A 15,411-nucleotide genomic window follows, 5' to 3' on the forward strand; every position below is an offset into this window, starting at 1 on the left:
CTCCGTCTCAAAAAAAAAAAAAAAATGGAACCAACCTCAATGTCCACCAATAGGGAAGAGTTATAGAAATTATAATTTAACTACATGATGGAATGTTCTCAAACCATTGAACATGAAAATGATGACTTCATCTGTATTTCTTGACATTAAACGATCTCATATTGACATGGAAAGATATCCATATAACATGTGGCAAACAAGAAAAAAAAGCAGATGGAGACTAGGAAGACTTCTGAAAATACCCTAGGATAAATGAATGTGTGTGGATCTCCACAGAAACACGTTTAGATGCTGCCACACCAAAATATGAACTGTGGTTACTGCTGAAAGATATACTTATGAGTGATTTTTATTTTATAAATGCTGTGTTATGTGAATATTTATATTCAGCAGGTTGAAATCAGGTTAGCAAGAGAAATATTTCCATTTCCATTACACACAGGATAATTTTCTTACAAAAAAATTTAAGACATAAGTTCCCAGACATGTAAAGCTATGAAGACTGAAGCAGACCTTGAAAATCTTAGTCCTAAAAGGAAGTGGTGGTGATTGGGTTGGGGAAAGTTTGTGGAAATCCCTGGTACGAATCTGTTACTGAACACGTAGTTATTGACTACGAACCTGGACTTAACCCTCTCATTTTACAAGAAAGGAAGGCCAGGCCAGGCGTGGTGGCTCACACATTCCCAGCACTTTGGGAGGCCAAGGTGGGTGGATCACGAGGTCAGGAATTCAAGACCAGCCTGGCCAAGATGGTGACACCCCGTCTCTACTAAAAATATTAAAATTAGCCTGGCATGGTGGCAGGTGCCTGTAATCCCAGCTACTCGGGAGGCTGAGGCAGGAGAATCGCTTGAACCCAGAGGACGGAGGTTGCAGCGAGCTGAGATCGCGCCACTGCAGTCCAGCCTAGGTGACAGAGTGAGACTCCATCTCAAAAAAAAGAAAAAAAGAAAGAAAGAAAGGCCAGACTCTCAAGGGTGAAGGTGCTTGCTCTAGGTCACAGGAGTGAAGGGAGGAACTGGCATTTCCTGACTCCGAGTCTCTGGTTTTCTCACCCAAACATGCCACCCCCATTGTGCAAACTGGCTTTTCCCTCCAGCAATTTCGAGTGGCTGTCTATTTTGTATAGCGAAAGGAGGTTTTTGTAGTGGATGACAAATCTTGAGCTAAAAAAGAAACATAGTATGACTCAAACAGTGAGCTGAGTTTACATAGAAATTATAGGCCTGTGCTGCTGTTTGGTAAGATTTTGGAACTAATTACTAGGTATTCCCAAAACAACACTTCTCTGGGCATCACGTGCATTTCTGAAAATTTCCTGAGGGTGATTGCTGGCCAAGAGCATTTCCTGCATGAAAATCCGAACAGTTTCTTTTTTATTGTTACACTCTGATGCAAGATTTCTAAGAATCTTTCTGTGAATCAAAGACTTCACTAGAAATAATGCTGTGTGGAGTCCCTTTACTACCTAGGGACCTATTCAGCTAAACAAGCATTTCTGTTGCAATGTAAATCAACTTTCTGGAATCAAAGAGATTCCAGTTTAAATTTGTCTATAACACACATGAGTGTGAGTAGAGTGGTTGAATGGGGAAAGCCCAGTCTTGAACTGACATGTCTTAGAACACTGAAAAATGTCACAAGTTATGTCTGTGTTTCTGCTGGTGTCTCCTGTGAACTCTCACATCTGGCCTCAGCCACATTCTCCAAGGGGGTGCACCCCACACTCTTCCTTTCCGTTTGGTGTTTTCTTTGCTTTCTGATGATACTTGGGGACCTTGTCCTTGCTGCCGGTGCCCATCAGAGGAAGGTCAAAGTCCATTCCCAAGACTCTCTTGGATGCTCCCAATGGTGTCAAGCCTCAATGATAGCTGGTGATGCATTCTCTGGAGACTGGGGAGAAAGCTTGGCTGATACTGGGCCACAATTTGTCACCTGAAGCTGAAGGGAGCTGAGTCTTGAGAAAGAAAAATCTTTTATCTGAGGAATGCAAGTCTCTCAAATTATCAGGCCCAGAAACACATTTAAATTTAACAGCAGTCATCTCACTCCCCTTTGAGCTAAATAATTACCTCTTAGAGCCTGAGGCCAAGTAGTCATAAAATGCCATACACTCTATAGTTGAAAAGTGTATAGCCAATCACTAACCAATGTTATTTCTGTAAACCAATGAGAATTCCTGACAAACAACTTTAGTAATCAGCCCCTTCTCCTGATTTTTTTTTTTCATTAAAAAATGTGAGCCTCCGCCTGTAATCCCAGCACTTTGGAAGGCGGAGGCGGGCGGATCACGAGGTCAGGAGATCGAGACCATCATGGCTAACACGGTGAAACCCCGTCTCTACTAAAAATACAAAAAAAAAAAAAATTAGCCGGTGTGGTGGCGGGTGCCTGTAGTCCCAGCTACTAGGGAGGCTGAGGCAGGAGGATGGCGTGAACCTGGGAGGCGGAGCTTGCAGTGAGCCGAGATAGTGCCACTGCACTCCAGCCTAGGCAACAGAGCGAGACTCCATCTCAAAAACAAAAACAAAAACAAAAACAAAACAAAACAAAACAAAATGTGAGCCTCTCTTTTGTTCTTCGAAGCACTCCCCAAGGCAACTTGGAAGTGTCTTCTCAGCTGCAGTCCTTAACTTTTGCACTTGAATAAACTCTCTTTAAACTAGATTCTGACCTTTTTGACTATTTTAAATTGGCAGTCTGCACCAATGTCTCCACCAGAGCCAGGAAGGTGGAGACCCAGCACCAAAACACCCTCCCAATTCTCTCTTTCCTCCAGGCCAAGATAACCATCCTTATCTTTTATTTAACAATACACAGGCCTGATGCAAATCAGCTCATGCAAATCACACCTTCAAGACCTGCCCCCAGCTCACTGGACGGGTCTAGACCAGTGCGAATGAGCTCAAATAAGGATCTTGGCTACATGCATTTCCCTTGTCATTTTATACTCCAAAGCAAAAACCTGTTTTGGAAGAATGAAACCAGTTTGCATGGTGCTAAAAAAAGTTTAACACCTGGCTGCCCTAAAAATTTTCAGGTCAAGTTCACCGTGAAGGGAATGCAAAATGCAACACATAAACATAGCTCTGAAAACCAACGAAGACACAAAAACCAAACAATGAAAATATTGTCCCTTCCTCTGGTTTAAATATGTCATTTCCATAAGACCAGATCAAGTCGCTGTTGGACAACTTTTTAAAAGATAGCAACAGTTTAAGCTTAATTTCATTTTAATTTTTCAAAGTGAACTTTAAAAAACACCTTATGTGACTTCCATGAATACACTGAAACACCGTGTTACAGAGCAGCTAAAATAGGAGACCTGGCTCCATTTCGATAATAAATGGTTGGGCTCACTAATGCGCTCAGATCGATGTCAAGCATGGGGGATTATCTACATAAACACACAAACTTTAGCACCTCTAAATTTGACTACTCAGACATAAATGTGACTGGTCTAAGAGAAGATCAATGTTTATAGCCTTAAAGTCACTCAATATTTAATTTAAATGCAAGCTGGTTTATGCCTGAAGCCAATGCCTGACATTTTAGATTTTTTTTTTTTTTTCTTTTTTTTGAGACGGAGTCTGGCTCTGTCATGCAGTGGCATGATCTCGGCTCACTGCAACCTCTGCCTTCTGAGTTCAAGCAGTTCTCCTGCCTCAGCCTCCCTAGTAGCTGGGATTACAGGCGTGTGCCGCCACACCCGGCTAATTTTTGTATTTTTAGTAGAGATGGGTTTTTACCATGTTGGCCAAGATAGTCTCAAATTCCTGACCTCGAGTGATCCGCCTACCTTGGCCTCCCAAAGTGCTGGGATTACAGGCAGTAGCCACCGTGCCCAGCCGGGATTTTTTTTTTCTTTTCTATTCCTAACAGCCCAAACCCAGCAAAAAGCATCATGCATTTGCACTCAGGTGCTGAGTAGGTTTCAGGACCTCAACAGGCCCACCTGACCTGGTCCAGGAATGACAGTAGTCAGGCCCCCCTGCCGTACATTTGGCCTAGTCTTCAAAAGCCTGCTCACTGGCCACACCAATTTCCTAAGGGTTTTTCTAAACAAAAATTTCAGATAAACCTAGATCCAACTTCTATATTGTTTCTTTAATTGGCTTTTGTTTTACGATCTTTATTTCAAATGTAATGCACTCTTGGGAAAGAAAAGTCAGAAAACAGAGATGAGCAGAAATGTCAGAGGCATTCGAACCACAGCAACTCCATCTTGACTAGGGACTGGGTAAAAGGAGGCTGAAACCTACTGGGCTGCATTTCCAGGAGGTTAGGCCTTCTTAGTCATAGGATGAGATAGAAGATCAGCATAAGATACAGGTCACAAACACCTTGCTGATAAAACAGGTTGCAGTAAAGAAGCAGGCCAAAAGGCCGACGTGGTGGCTCATGCCTGGAATCCCAGCGCTTTGGGAGTCTGAGGCAAGAGAATCACTGAGGTTGGGAGTTCGAGACCAGCCTGGCCAATATGGTGAAACCCAGTCTCTACTAAAAATACAAAAATTAACCTGGCATGGTGGCACACATCTGTAATCCCAGCTACTTGGGAGGCTGAGGCACAAGAATCGCTTGAACCTGGAAGGTGGAGGTTGCAGTGAGCCAAGATTGTCCCACTGTACTCCAACCTGGGGGACGGAGCGAGACTTGGTCTCAAAAAAAAAAAAAAAAAAAAAAAAAAAAGAAGCAGGCCAAAACCCACCAAAACCAACATGGCCACAAAAGTGACTTCTGGTCATTCTCACTGCTCATTAGATGTTAATTATAATGCATTAGGATGCTAAAAGACACTCCCACCAGCACCATGGCAGTTTACAAATGGTCTATATGGTCTAAAAAGGGGAGGAACCCTCAGTTCCAGAACTGCCCAATCCTTCCCTGGAAAACTCATGAGTAATCCATTCCTTGTTTAGCATATGATCAAGAAGCAACTCTGAGTATACTCATTTGAGCACCCCATGCTTCTGCTCTGCTTATGAAGTAGCCATTCTTTTCCTTTACTTTCTTAATAAACTTACTTTGGCTTTGCTCTCTGGAGTCACCCCAAATTCTTTCTTGTGTGAAGTCCGAGAACACTCTCTTGGGGTCTGGATTGGGACCCCTTTCCAGTAACAGAATGAATGTAAAGAATATTCATAATAGGCCAGGCGCGGTGGCTCACGCCTGTAATCCCAGCACTTTGGGAGGTCGAGGTGGGTGGATCACAAGGTCAGGAGATTGAGATCATCCTGGCTAACACGGTGAAACCCCGTCTCTACTAAAAATACAAAAAATTAGCCGGGCGCGGTGGCAGTCACCTGTAGTCCCAGCTACTCAGGAGGCTGAGGCAGGAGAATGGCCTGAACCCGGGAGGCGGAGCTTGCAGTGAGCCAAGATTGCACCATTGCACTCCAGCCTGGGCGACAGAGCAAGACTCCATCTCAAAAAAAAAAAAAAAAAGAATATTCATCATCACTTCTTGTGGGATGGAAAATGTGTCCATTCCTTCAAGAGTCTTCCTTCTGGCACCCCCTACATATAATGATATTTTACAAAACTAAACAGGATGTGTTGTTTTATTACCTGCCATAATTTAAGCCAGTTGTTCTCAAATTGGGCTGTGTCTTATAACCACCTGGGGAGATCTTAAATATCTTGATAGATGGGCCTCACTTCTTACCACTTAAATAGTAATTTTGAGAATGAGACCCAAGCATTCGTATTTTTTAGGTATATCCAAGATGCAAACAAGATGGCAAAGAGTGCCTTACATAAACAACCAACAGAGGGGAGATTAGATTAGGGAGTGAAGTAGAGCAGCAGTTGTCAGACGTTGGTGTGTATCCTGATCACCTGGAGAACTTGGTGAAATATGAAGGCCCAGGCCCTGTATTTCCATGACTCTTGGACTCCATGTTTCTTATTGGCTCTGCAGGCCATTTGCATGCTCACCAAGTTGGAGAACCAACAGTTTAGGTGACCGATCGCCGACTGTTTGATCACCTCTTAAAGAACCTGATGCCCCCATCCTCACTAGAGTAAACTTTAAGAACTAGGCTGTTCTATCCAGTAGCCTCTCATCACATGTGACTATTAAGCACTTGAACCATGGCTAGTTCAAAGAGAGCACAGCTGCAAATGGAGAATGAGCCCAGGATTTCAAAGGCCTAGCACACATTGAAATGGCAGTCTGTTGGACATACTGAGTTTCTTCTTTTTCTTTAAATCACATATGTAGCTCACATTGTATTCCTACAGGACAGGCTGCTCTGGAGGCGGGGCCTATGTCTGTTCTCCGCTGTCTTTCCAGCAGCTGGCTCAGTGATTTTGCATCAAGTAGGCACTCAATCAATATATATTTGTTTCTTTTGGGGAAAGAAAATGAGTCAATGAATAAATGAATGAACACAGACATATGACAACCCAGTCACGCAAAGTATTATTCTACAGACAAAGCAGAAACTTGGAAAATAGACACTATTTTGGTTTGGGTTCCCCTAGAGGCCTTTCCTGAGACTGGGGTTCAAGTGCAAGTGGTCTATTTGGAAGGAGATCCCCAAGAATATTGGTAGAGGAGTAAAGAAGTGAAGCTGGGAAGGCAAGGAGGGCAGTAAAGGGTATGTTAGGAAACAGTTGCCATTGTGGGCAGTTGGGGCTTAGTCCTGCTGGGAACTTTAGGAAATAATATGAAATATGTGCCTGGAAGCTCTGTCCCCCACCCATGGTGAAGGAGCTAGGTTGTTTATACACCATTTCCCATTAGTCCTTCATTGAAAGCTGCTGGGAGGGGCACACTGCTGGGAGCTAGGTTGTTTATACACCATTTCCCATTAGTCCTTCGTTGAAAGCTGCTGGGAGGGGCACATGCATTCATTCCCAGGCACTTCTGTCCTACCATGTGCTGTGAGCTCCAGCAGACAGAGAAAGCCTTCAGGCAAAGAGACAGCAGTGCTAGCAGGTGCACGTGCTAAAATGGTACAGCTGAGGGGACAGGAGCAAAGGAGTTCAGAAAATGCCACCCCCAAATATACTGCTTTGGTATATTGATTGCCTTCAGCTGAAGGCACTTGAAAAATAAAAATGCAGTCTTTCTCTAAACTCCTCTTATCTGCCTAAAGACAGATCCTCCAGAAGAAACTCAGTTGTCATCAATCCCCATCTGGGGAGTTTCATCAACCAGAGAAGATTAAGTCTTATCACAGGAGAGGAGGCTAGAAGTGAGTTCCACATCCAGATAAACTTTGCTACCAGCTCTCATCTGTTCTTCCAAGGGCCTATCCATCTTTCCCCCAAAACCGTTTACTCTCCCCTAAATTGCCAATATCCCCCCTCCCCTCTCCCATATGAAGAGGGTATACAAGCTCCTAAATCTCACTGGCTTTTCAGATAGCTACTTTTTTGTTTTTCCTGTGATGCCTCTGTGCATATACTAAATTTATATGCCTTTTCTCCTGTTAATCTGCCTGTTGTCAGTTGATTTCATGGATAAACTGACATGAACCTCAGTGGGTAGAGGAAAAGTCTTCTCTTCCCTACAGGGACATAGCCAGGAACAGCTAACTATAGTTCCTTTTCTTGGTGGAGGGTGGTGTGGAGTCTCGCTCTGTCACCCAGGTTGGAGTGCAGTGGCTGGATCTCGGCTCACTGCAACCTCTGCTTCCCAGGTTCAAGTGATTCTCCTGTCTCAGCCTCCCAAGTACCTGGGACTACAGGTGCACTTCGCCACACCCAGCGAATTTTTTTGTATTTTAGTAGAGACAGAATTTCACTGTGTTGCCCAGGCTGGTCTTGAACTCCTGAGCTCAGGCAATCCACCCGCCTCAGCATCCCAAAGTGCTAGGATTACAGGCATGAGCCACCTCGCCTGGCCTATAGTTTCTTTTTAAACAAGCCCAGTAATTCCATCACCTAATAATTTAAATCGGTACCACTGTCATGCACATCTCACAAGATGGTCAGTAAAACCCCTTGTCAGCTCCTCTTTGATGACCCTAGAGGCCCCAAACAGATGTGGGGACAGGCTCCCAGCCATGAGCCCAGTGTTCCTTGATTAAGAATTGTCCAACCAGGAGGGTCCATCACTGTTGGACCCTTTATCTCCTGGTAGTTACTCCTAGGCTAAGATGGTAGGCAATTTTCTTTCTTCTGGTTTCTCCATTATGATGCAAACCCACCCAGGAATGTGGCTGGCACTTGTCTTTAGATTGCCCATAATACATGCACACAGGCCTGAAATTGTGCCTGCTTAATGTTTTAATAAAGAGTCTCAAGTTTCGGCTAGGCACGGTGGCTCACGCCTGTAATCCCAGCACTTTGGGAGGCCGAGGCGGGAGGATCACGAGTTCAGGAGATCGAGACCATCTTGGCTAACATGATGAAACCCCGTCTCCACTAAAAAAAATACAAAAAATTAGCCAGGCGTGGCAGCGGGCACCTGTAGTCCCAGCTACTCAGGAGGCTGAGGCAGGAGAATGGCGTGAACCCGGGAGGCAGAGCTTGCAGTGAGCCAAGATTGTGCCACTGCACTCCAGCCTGGGCGAAAGAGTGAGACTCTGTCTAAAAAAAAAAAAAAAGAGTCTCAAGTTTTTAGTTTCAGAAAATATAACTTTTCTGGGTCTTAAATCATTTCACAGAGACTGACCATAATGGTCCATTTCTGGAGGTTAATTCAGTCTGGTTCTAATTTGAAATGAATCAGGGGAAGCTTCAGAATCCTTTCATTAAGCACAGTGAAGCAAAGCAAATAGGACCAAAGAAACAGTAAACAAATAGAAAATGAGAAATGGCTGCTTTGGCGCCGGATTGAACTCAAAGCAGCCCTGAGTTTTCACAGTAACTTTAAATCTACTTGGTACCATAAAAATGCATCTGTGGTTTCCATGAACAATTCAATTGTGTCAAGGCTTTGGTCTCATTTGGAGGATTTGAGCCAAAACACTGTCACAACCTGTCATTGCTGGAATTTTACATTCAAGGCCCTTTCCTCTAGTATTTATTTTCCCCCTCTGGAATGTAAGTGGTATAGAAACCTAGGTTATTTAATGAAATGTTTAGGTTATAAATAATTTAGATTAAAAAGTACATACATATACACACACACATAGTCTTAGGGGCCCTGCAGATTGTTAGGCCCCCACAACTTTCAGGAGTTTTTGTTTTGTTTTCTTTTGAGACAAGAGTCTCACGCTCTCACCCAGGCTGGGGGTACAGTGGTGCCATCTCCGCTCACTGCAACCTCTTCCTCCCTGGTTCAAGCGATTCTTCCACTTCAGCCTCCAGAAGAGCTGAGGCATGCACCGTGACACCTGGCTAATTTTGTATTTTTGTATTTTTAGTAGAGATGTGGTTGCACCATGTTGACCAGAAGGTTGGTCTCTAACTCCTCCTAACCTTAAGTGATCCACCTGCTTCCAAGAGTGCTGGGGTTACAGGCATCAGCCACCATGCCCAGTCTTCCCACAACGTTTAAAAGAGAACCCAGAGGCCATGTTTGGTAGCTCATGCCTGTAATCCCAGCCCTTTGGGAGGCTGAGGCGGGAGGATCCCTTGAGCCCAGGAGTTCAAGGCTGCAGTGAGCTATTGTACCACTGGACTCCAGCCTGGGAGACACAGCAAGAAGCTGTCTCTAAAAATATACATATACTTAAAAAAAAAAAAAAAAAACTGTCTGGACAAACAACCCCCGTGTAACTCCACCCAACTGTTGCCATGAAGGAATGTGGGCTCGATGTTTCCAAATCTACTGACTTTACATGCTTAATCCCCAAATTTTTATGTGAAATATTCCTTTTTTTAAACATTGGTAACTAATTTAAAATTTTTAAAAACACTGTACCAAGCGGGGTGCGGTGGCTCACGCCTGTAATCCCAGCACTTTGGGAGGCTGAGGCAGGTGGATCACGAGATCAGGAGATGAAGACTATCCTGGCTAACACGGTGAAACCCCATCTCTACTAAAAATACAAAAAATTAGCTGAGCGTGGTGGTGCGCGCCTGTAGTCCCAGCTACCACGGAGGCTGAGGCAGGAGAATCGCTTAACCTGGGAGGTGGAGGTTGCAGTGAGCCAACATCGCGCCACTGCACTCTAGCCTGGGAGACAGAGCGAGACTCCATCTCAAAAATAAATACATAAATACATAAATACATAAAAATAAATAAATAAAAAATAAAAACACTGTACCGACCCATGTGGAAACGGCCAAGCAGAACTCAGACGCAGGGAGCATATAGAGCTGTGACCTTGGGGCACACAAAGTTATGGCCTCATTCCACCATGGAGCAGATACAGCCCTCAGGCACGAACTGGGACAGACATGAAAATCTATAAAATGTGTCCTGCCCTCCAGTATCTTCCTATCCTGGAGGGTAAATGATGCATACAACTAATGTTTTCACGCAAAGTAAAAAACAATAATAAATAAATATATAATCATCACAATAATAAATAAGCAGGTGGCATGTAATTATCAGGGCACTGTAGAGAAACAGAAGCAGCAGCAGATAAGAAAAGTTTTATTTATTTTAAGGAATTGGCTCATGCAATTGTGGAGGCTGCTGTGTTTGTAATTTACAGGGCAGGCCGGCAGGCTGGAAACTCAGGGAGGGGTTGACACCGCAGTCCTGAGGCAGAATTTCTTCTTTTCCTAGAAACTCCAGTTTTTGCTCTTAGGACTTTCAACAGACTAGATGAGGCTCACTCATGTCATCCAGGAAAATCTCCTTTACTTAAAGTCAACTTATTAGGCCGGGCACGGTGGCTCATGCCTGTAATCCCAGCTCTTTGGAAGGCCGAGGCGGGTGGATCACGAGGTCAAGAGATCGAGACCATCCTGGCTAACACGGTGAAACCCCGTCTCCACTAAAAATACAAAAAATTCTCTGGGTGTGGTGGCGGGCGCCTGTAGTCCCAGCTACTCGGGAGGCTGAGGCAGGAGAATGGCGTGAGCCCGGGAGGCAGAGCAATGCAGCGAGCCGAGATTGTGCCACTGTACTCCAGCCTGGGTGACAGAGTGAGACTCCGACTCAAAAAAAAAAAAAATCAACTTATTGTAGGTGTTCACCTCATCTACAAGCTACCTTCATGGCAACACCTAGATAAGTGTTTGAGTAACTGGATACTGTGGCCCAGCAAAGCCGACACATAAAAATAACTACTCCACGGGAACAGTGCTGTCAGAGAGGTGCAAAAAACCACTGCAGGAGTTCAGGAGAATGAAAAGTCAAGGAAACTTAGATGGTTGAAAACAATCCCCATGATAAAAGAGCAAAGAAATAAAGCCTTCTCAATAGAGAAGACCAAAAAGAAATAATACTGATTAACAGTAGCCAAGCACATGTACGCTGTCATATAGTCTTTCTTTCTTTTCTTTTTTTTTTTTTTGAGACAGAGTCTTGCTGTGTTGCCCAGGCTGGAGTACAGTGGCACAGTCTCAGCTCATTGTAACCTCTGCCTCCTGGATTCAAGCGATTCTCCTGCCTCTGCCTCCTGAGTACCTGGGATTACAGGTGCCTGCCACCACACCTGGCTGATTTTTGTATTTTCAGTAGAGATGGGGTTTCACCATGTTGGCCAGGCTGGTCTCAAACTCCTGACTTCAGGTGATCCACCTGCCTCGGCCTCCCAAAATGCTGGGATTACAGGTGTGAGCCACCGTGCCCGGCCTATTATTTATTTTTAATCATCTCAACTACCCTAATGGGGCAGGAACTATCATTCTCCCCACTTTATAGATAAAGACAACTGACCCCAGTGTTTCCAATGTCACACAACTGTGATAGAAATGGAACTCAAATTCAGGCAGTGTGAAATCTCCAGATGGCCCTACTCATACTTCCCTAATGAACGCATACATGACCTCATTAATTCTAATAAAGGCCCCATGAGATAGGTATCATTATCCCCTCTTACTCATTTGTAAGGTGACAGCACTGGGATTTGAACCTGGCTTATCTGACTCTAAACTTATGCTCTGTCCACCCCAGCATGTGGCATGCCTCCGGCCTTGCTCCAAACATACCAAGGAGAATGTGTCAAGGGGTCTAGTTTATGTTCAGATGCAACCTCCGAGTGGAATGCAGCTTAATTTCAAGCAGTAAAAAATGTTGGTAGAATAGTAGAAGTAACTTCTTGGTTGTCCATCAGGGAAATGCACACATCAACTGGAGAAAGAAACGTTTATCCTTGGAGAACTTGACTGCTTTGAACATTAGCCTCCCCAAAGACCAAGATAAGGTTATAATCATTGAATGGGAATGTGTATTGAGACTGTGAATTTTGGTTATTGATTGGCAAGAATAAAAACACAGCACTTTCCACCCACACAGAAAACAACACCAAAGTTGGCTTCTCTTAAATGAAAATATTTCCTTGGCTTTCTCTTAGCTACATATTTTTAGCAAAAATTAAATATACACTGCAAATCATGTCTTCTTTTCTTGGGTAGGGAATAGACTCATTTCAATCTAACTTCAAAGGAGCAACCAGAAGACTTTTCTTTCCCCGACCACTTTGAAATACTCCTACACTATTTTATCCTTTTCTCTCAGTGAGTTATTTTTTTCCTCTCAGAACGTAGAGTATGTGAGAAATCTGTACTGTTCTATTTTTGCTGAGGAATGAATTCTGAGCTCACTTTGAGCTCATAAAATTGTCATCTATTCACTTGTTATCTCTTCTCTAGACCTTCCTGCTAGAGTCAATGCCAGGTCTATCTCCCTTCTATGATCATGATGATAACAGGAAATATAGCATAATCATTTAGCAATTGTTTAAAATTAAATGATGCCCTTTCATTGTCATTATTTTTATCTTAATTATATCTCCACAATATATAACAGTAATCATCCAGTTCCTCATAATTTTATATGATGGGCATGATATTGCAAATCAGATCATAAAAATAAAATCTATATTCATTGTATGCCAGGCTCCAGGCTATACAGACATTTAAAACTCACAAAAACCCTATGAGGTAGATACTAATATCCTCATTTTTCTAAGGAGGAAACTGAGGTATAGGTAATTTCAGTAATTTGCTCATGTTTATACAGGAAGGGAGCCGAAATGTAAAATGAAGCATCCTGCCCGCAAAGACAGTTTGTGGCCATAACAGTGTGTACAACTCCCACTAAATAATTGTGAGGTTTCATTTTCTTGTTTTTCTCTTTCTTCTTGGAAGTTCAAAACTACATTTTATGGAGGCAGAACAAATAAACACAAATATTCCATAGGGAAACACTGTGGATAAATAGGCCTTGTCTGTCATTCAGGATAGGTGCCAGTCAAAAGGTGAGCTATGAATCTACTCCCTAGAATAAGCTACAGAGTGGAAGGTGAAAGTTCAGGAGGCTCTTCACCAAAACTACCTGACTTTAAAACCCTAATAAGATTTCCCATGCCGGGTGCAGTGGCTCACGCCTGTAATCCCAGCACTTTAGGAGGCCGAGGCAGGTGGATCATGAGGTCGGGAGATCGAGACCATCCTGGCTAACACAGTGAAACCCCGTCTCTACTAAAAATGCAAAAACTTAGCCAGGCGTGGCGGCGGGCACCTGTAGTCCCAGCTACTCGGGAGGCTGAGGCAGGAGAATGGCGTGAACCCAGGAGGTGGATCTTGCTGTGAGCCGAGATCGCTCCACTGCACTCCGGCCTGGGCGACAGAGCGAGACTCAGTCTCAAAAAAAAAAAAAATGTTGTTGGGTGTAGTGGCTCACCCCTGTTATCCCAGCAATTTGGGAGGCTGAGGCAGGAGGATTGCTTGAGGCTAGGAGTTCAAGAGCAACCTGGGCAACATAACACGACCCTATCTCTAAAAATAAAAAATGATATTCCTCTGATGTAGCAAACTATGAGAAATCATAGACATAGGGCTTGACATCCAACCCAACCTCCCACTGTGCCAAAGTGACCCAGATTCATAAAGATTTTGGTAGAACTAGAACCCACTATCTAGTTAACGTACTGTCCTCTCAAACAAGTGAGTGTAGACAAAAGTGCATGGCTTTAAAAGTCAATTCAACAGCTCAAGTTAAACACAGAGACAAGAATATCAATGTGATAGATGTTCACTCTCTGTGTAGCATTAAAAGCAGGTTTCGGCAGTATCCCAGCAGCCCCAAATCTCCGTTAACTGGAATTTCCATAAAAGATGCTCATAATTCTTCAAGATTTCATGGTGCCTTCTGGATCATTACAGAAAAGATAAAATGACAGTTGGTGCAGTTTTTTTCAAAAAATTATTTTAGCTGGGCATGGTGGCTCACGCCTATAATTCCAGCACTTTGGGAGGCCGAGGCAGGGAGATCACCTGAGGTCAGGAGTTTGAGACCAGCTTGGCCAACGCTGTGAAACCCCATCTCTACTAAAAATAGAGAAATTAGCTGGGCATGTGGCAGGCACCCGTAATCCTAGTTACTCGGAAGGCTGAGGCACGAGAATTGCTTGAACCCAGGAGGCAGAGGTTGCAGTGAGCCAAGACTGTGCCACTGCACTCCAGCCTGGGCAACGGAGCAAGACTCCGACTCAAAAAAAATTATTATACTTTTAGCTGACAAATAATTGTATATGTTGGTCAGTGCAGTTCTGCTGTTTTGCTGTTTTGTTCTGCCTTTGCACATGGCATTTTACCTTGCCTGTCCTGAACTCAGAGTATGTTTATTAACCAGAGCAGCCAGGCTAAGCAGAAACAGTTTAAAGTTGACAGAGAGGGTCTCCTTATCTGTCCAGAAAAGTCAGTGGATTCTAAGTATATTTGGAAAAAAATTGTTGCAAAGCAACAAAAGAGAAAAAATAGCTATAATACAGCATCAAGATCTGTTAGGCCTAGAAAATATTGTCATTTCTGCTTTTCATGCAGGGGGAAAGCTTCCTTCAGCTTGTACATAAAACCTCAGTACGCTTATCTTCTTCTACATATTTAAAGTAATAGAACTCGGTCTAATTTCAAGAATTACTTGAAAAGTGGGTGGCCAACCAGGTGGGCAATCCAGGTAGGAATCCAGGTGGCTCTGAAGATGTGAACACAGGTAAGCAGAGGTTGTCATTTCAGAAGATCTGGAGGTCAAGGTCTGGGGGAGACTGGTGTGCAAGAGGTTAATTAGTGAGTGCCCTTGGGATTAATACTTGAGGAAGGGAAGGACAGGAGATAGGATTGGCAGAGGGCAAAGTGGAGCAGCCATGATGAAGGCTACAGACAACCCCTCCAGGAGCTTTAGAGCTGCGATAACCCATTCAGAGTTGTGTCAAATTCAGGAGACCACCTCCAGTGGATGCAGCCTGCTCCAGCTAGGGGACCTGGCCTTGGGCCAGAAGGCTCTCTTCAGCTGGGGCAAGTCCCACAGTGGGCTGACAGCTAAGGGTGTTGTCCCAAGAGCACTTCCCACAGCTAGCTGAGGAAGTGAAGCCTGCAATCCCTGAAGGG

At 43.9% G+C, this 15,411-nt stretch overlaps 2 annotated features.

The window, feature by feature from the left end:
• Window positions 1,692–1,931: an enhancer, noted in NCBI's record as "active region_28518". NCBI's record gives its function as "activates an Ori minimal core promoter by ATAC-STARR-seq in GM12878 lymphoblastoid cells {active_cell/tissue: GM12878}" and the evidence as "EXISTENCE:reporter gene assay evidence [ECO:0000049][PMID:35858748]".
• Window positions 2,773–2,822: an enhancer, noted in NCBI's record as "active region_28519". NCBI's record gives its function as "activates an Ori minimal core promoter by ATAC-STARR-seq in GM12878 lymphoblastoid cells {active_cell/tissue: GM12878}" and the evidence as "EXISTENCE:reporter gene assay evidence [ECO:0000049][PMID:35858748]".

The sequence above is a fragment of the Homo sapiens genome, chromosome 9 (genome assembly GCF_000001405.40).
Source record: "Homo sapiens chromosome 9, GRCh38.p14 Primary Assembly".
Classification (NCBI taxonomy): Eukaryota; Metazoa; Chordata; class Mammalia; order Primates; family Hominidae; genus Homo; species Homo sapiens.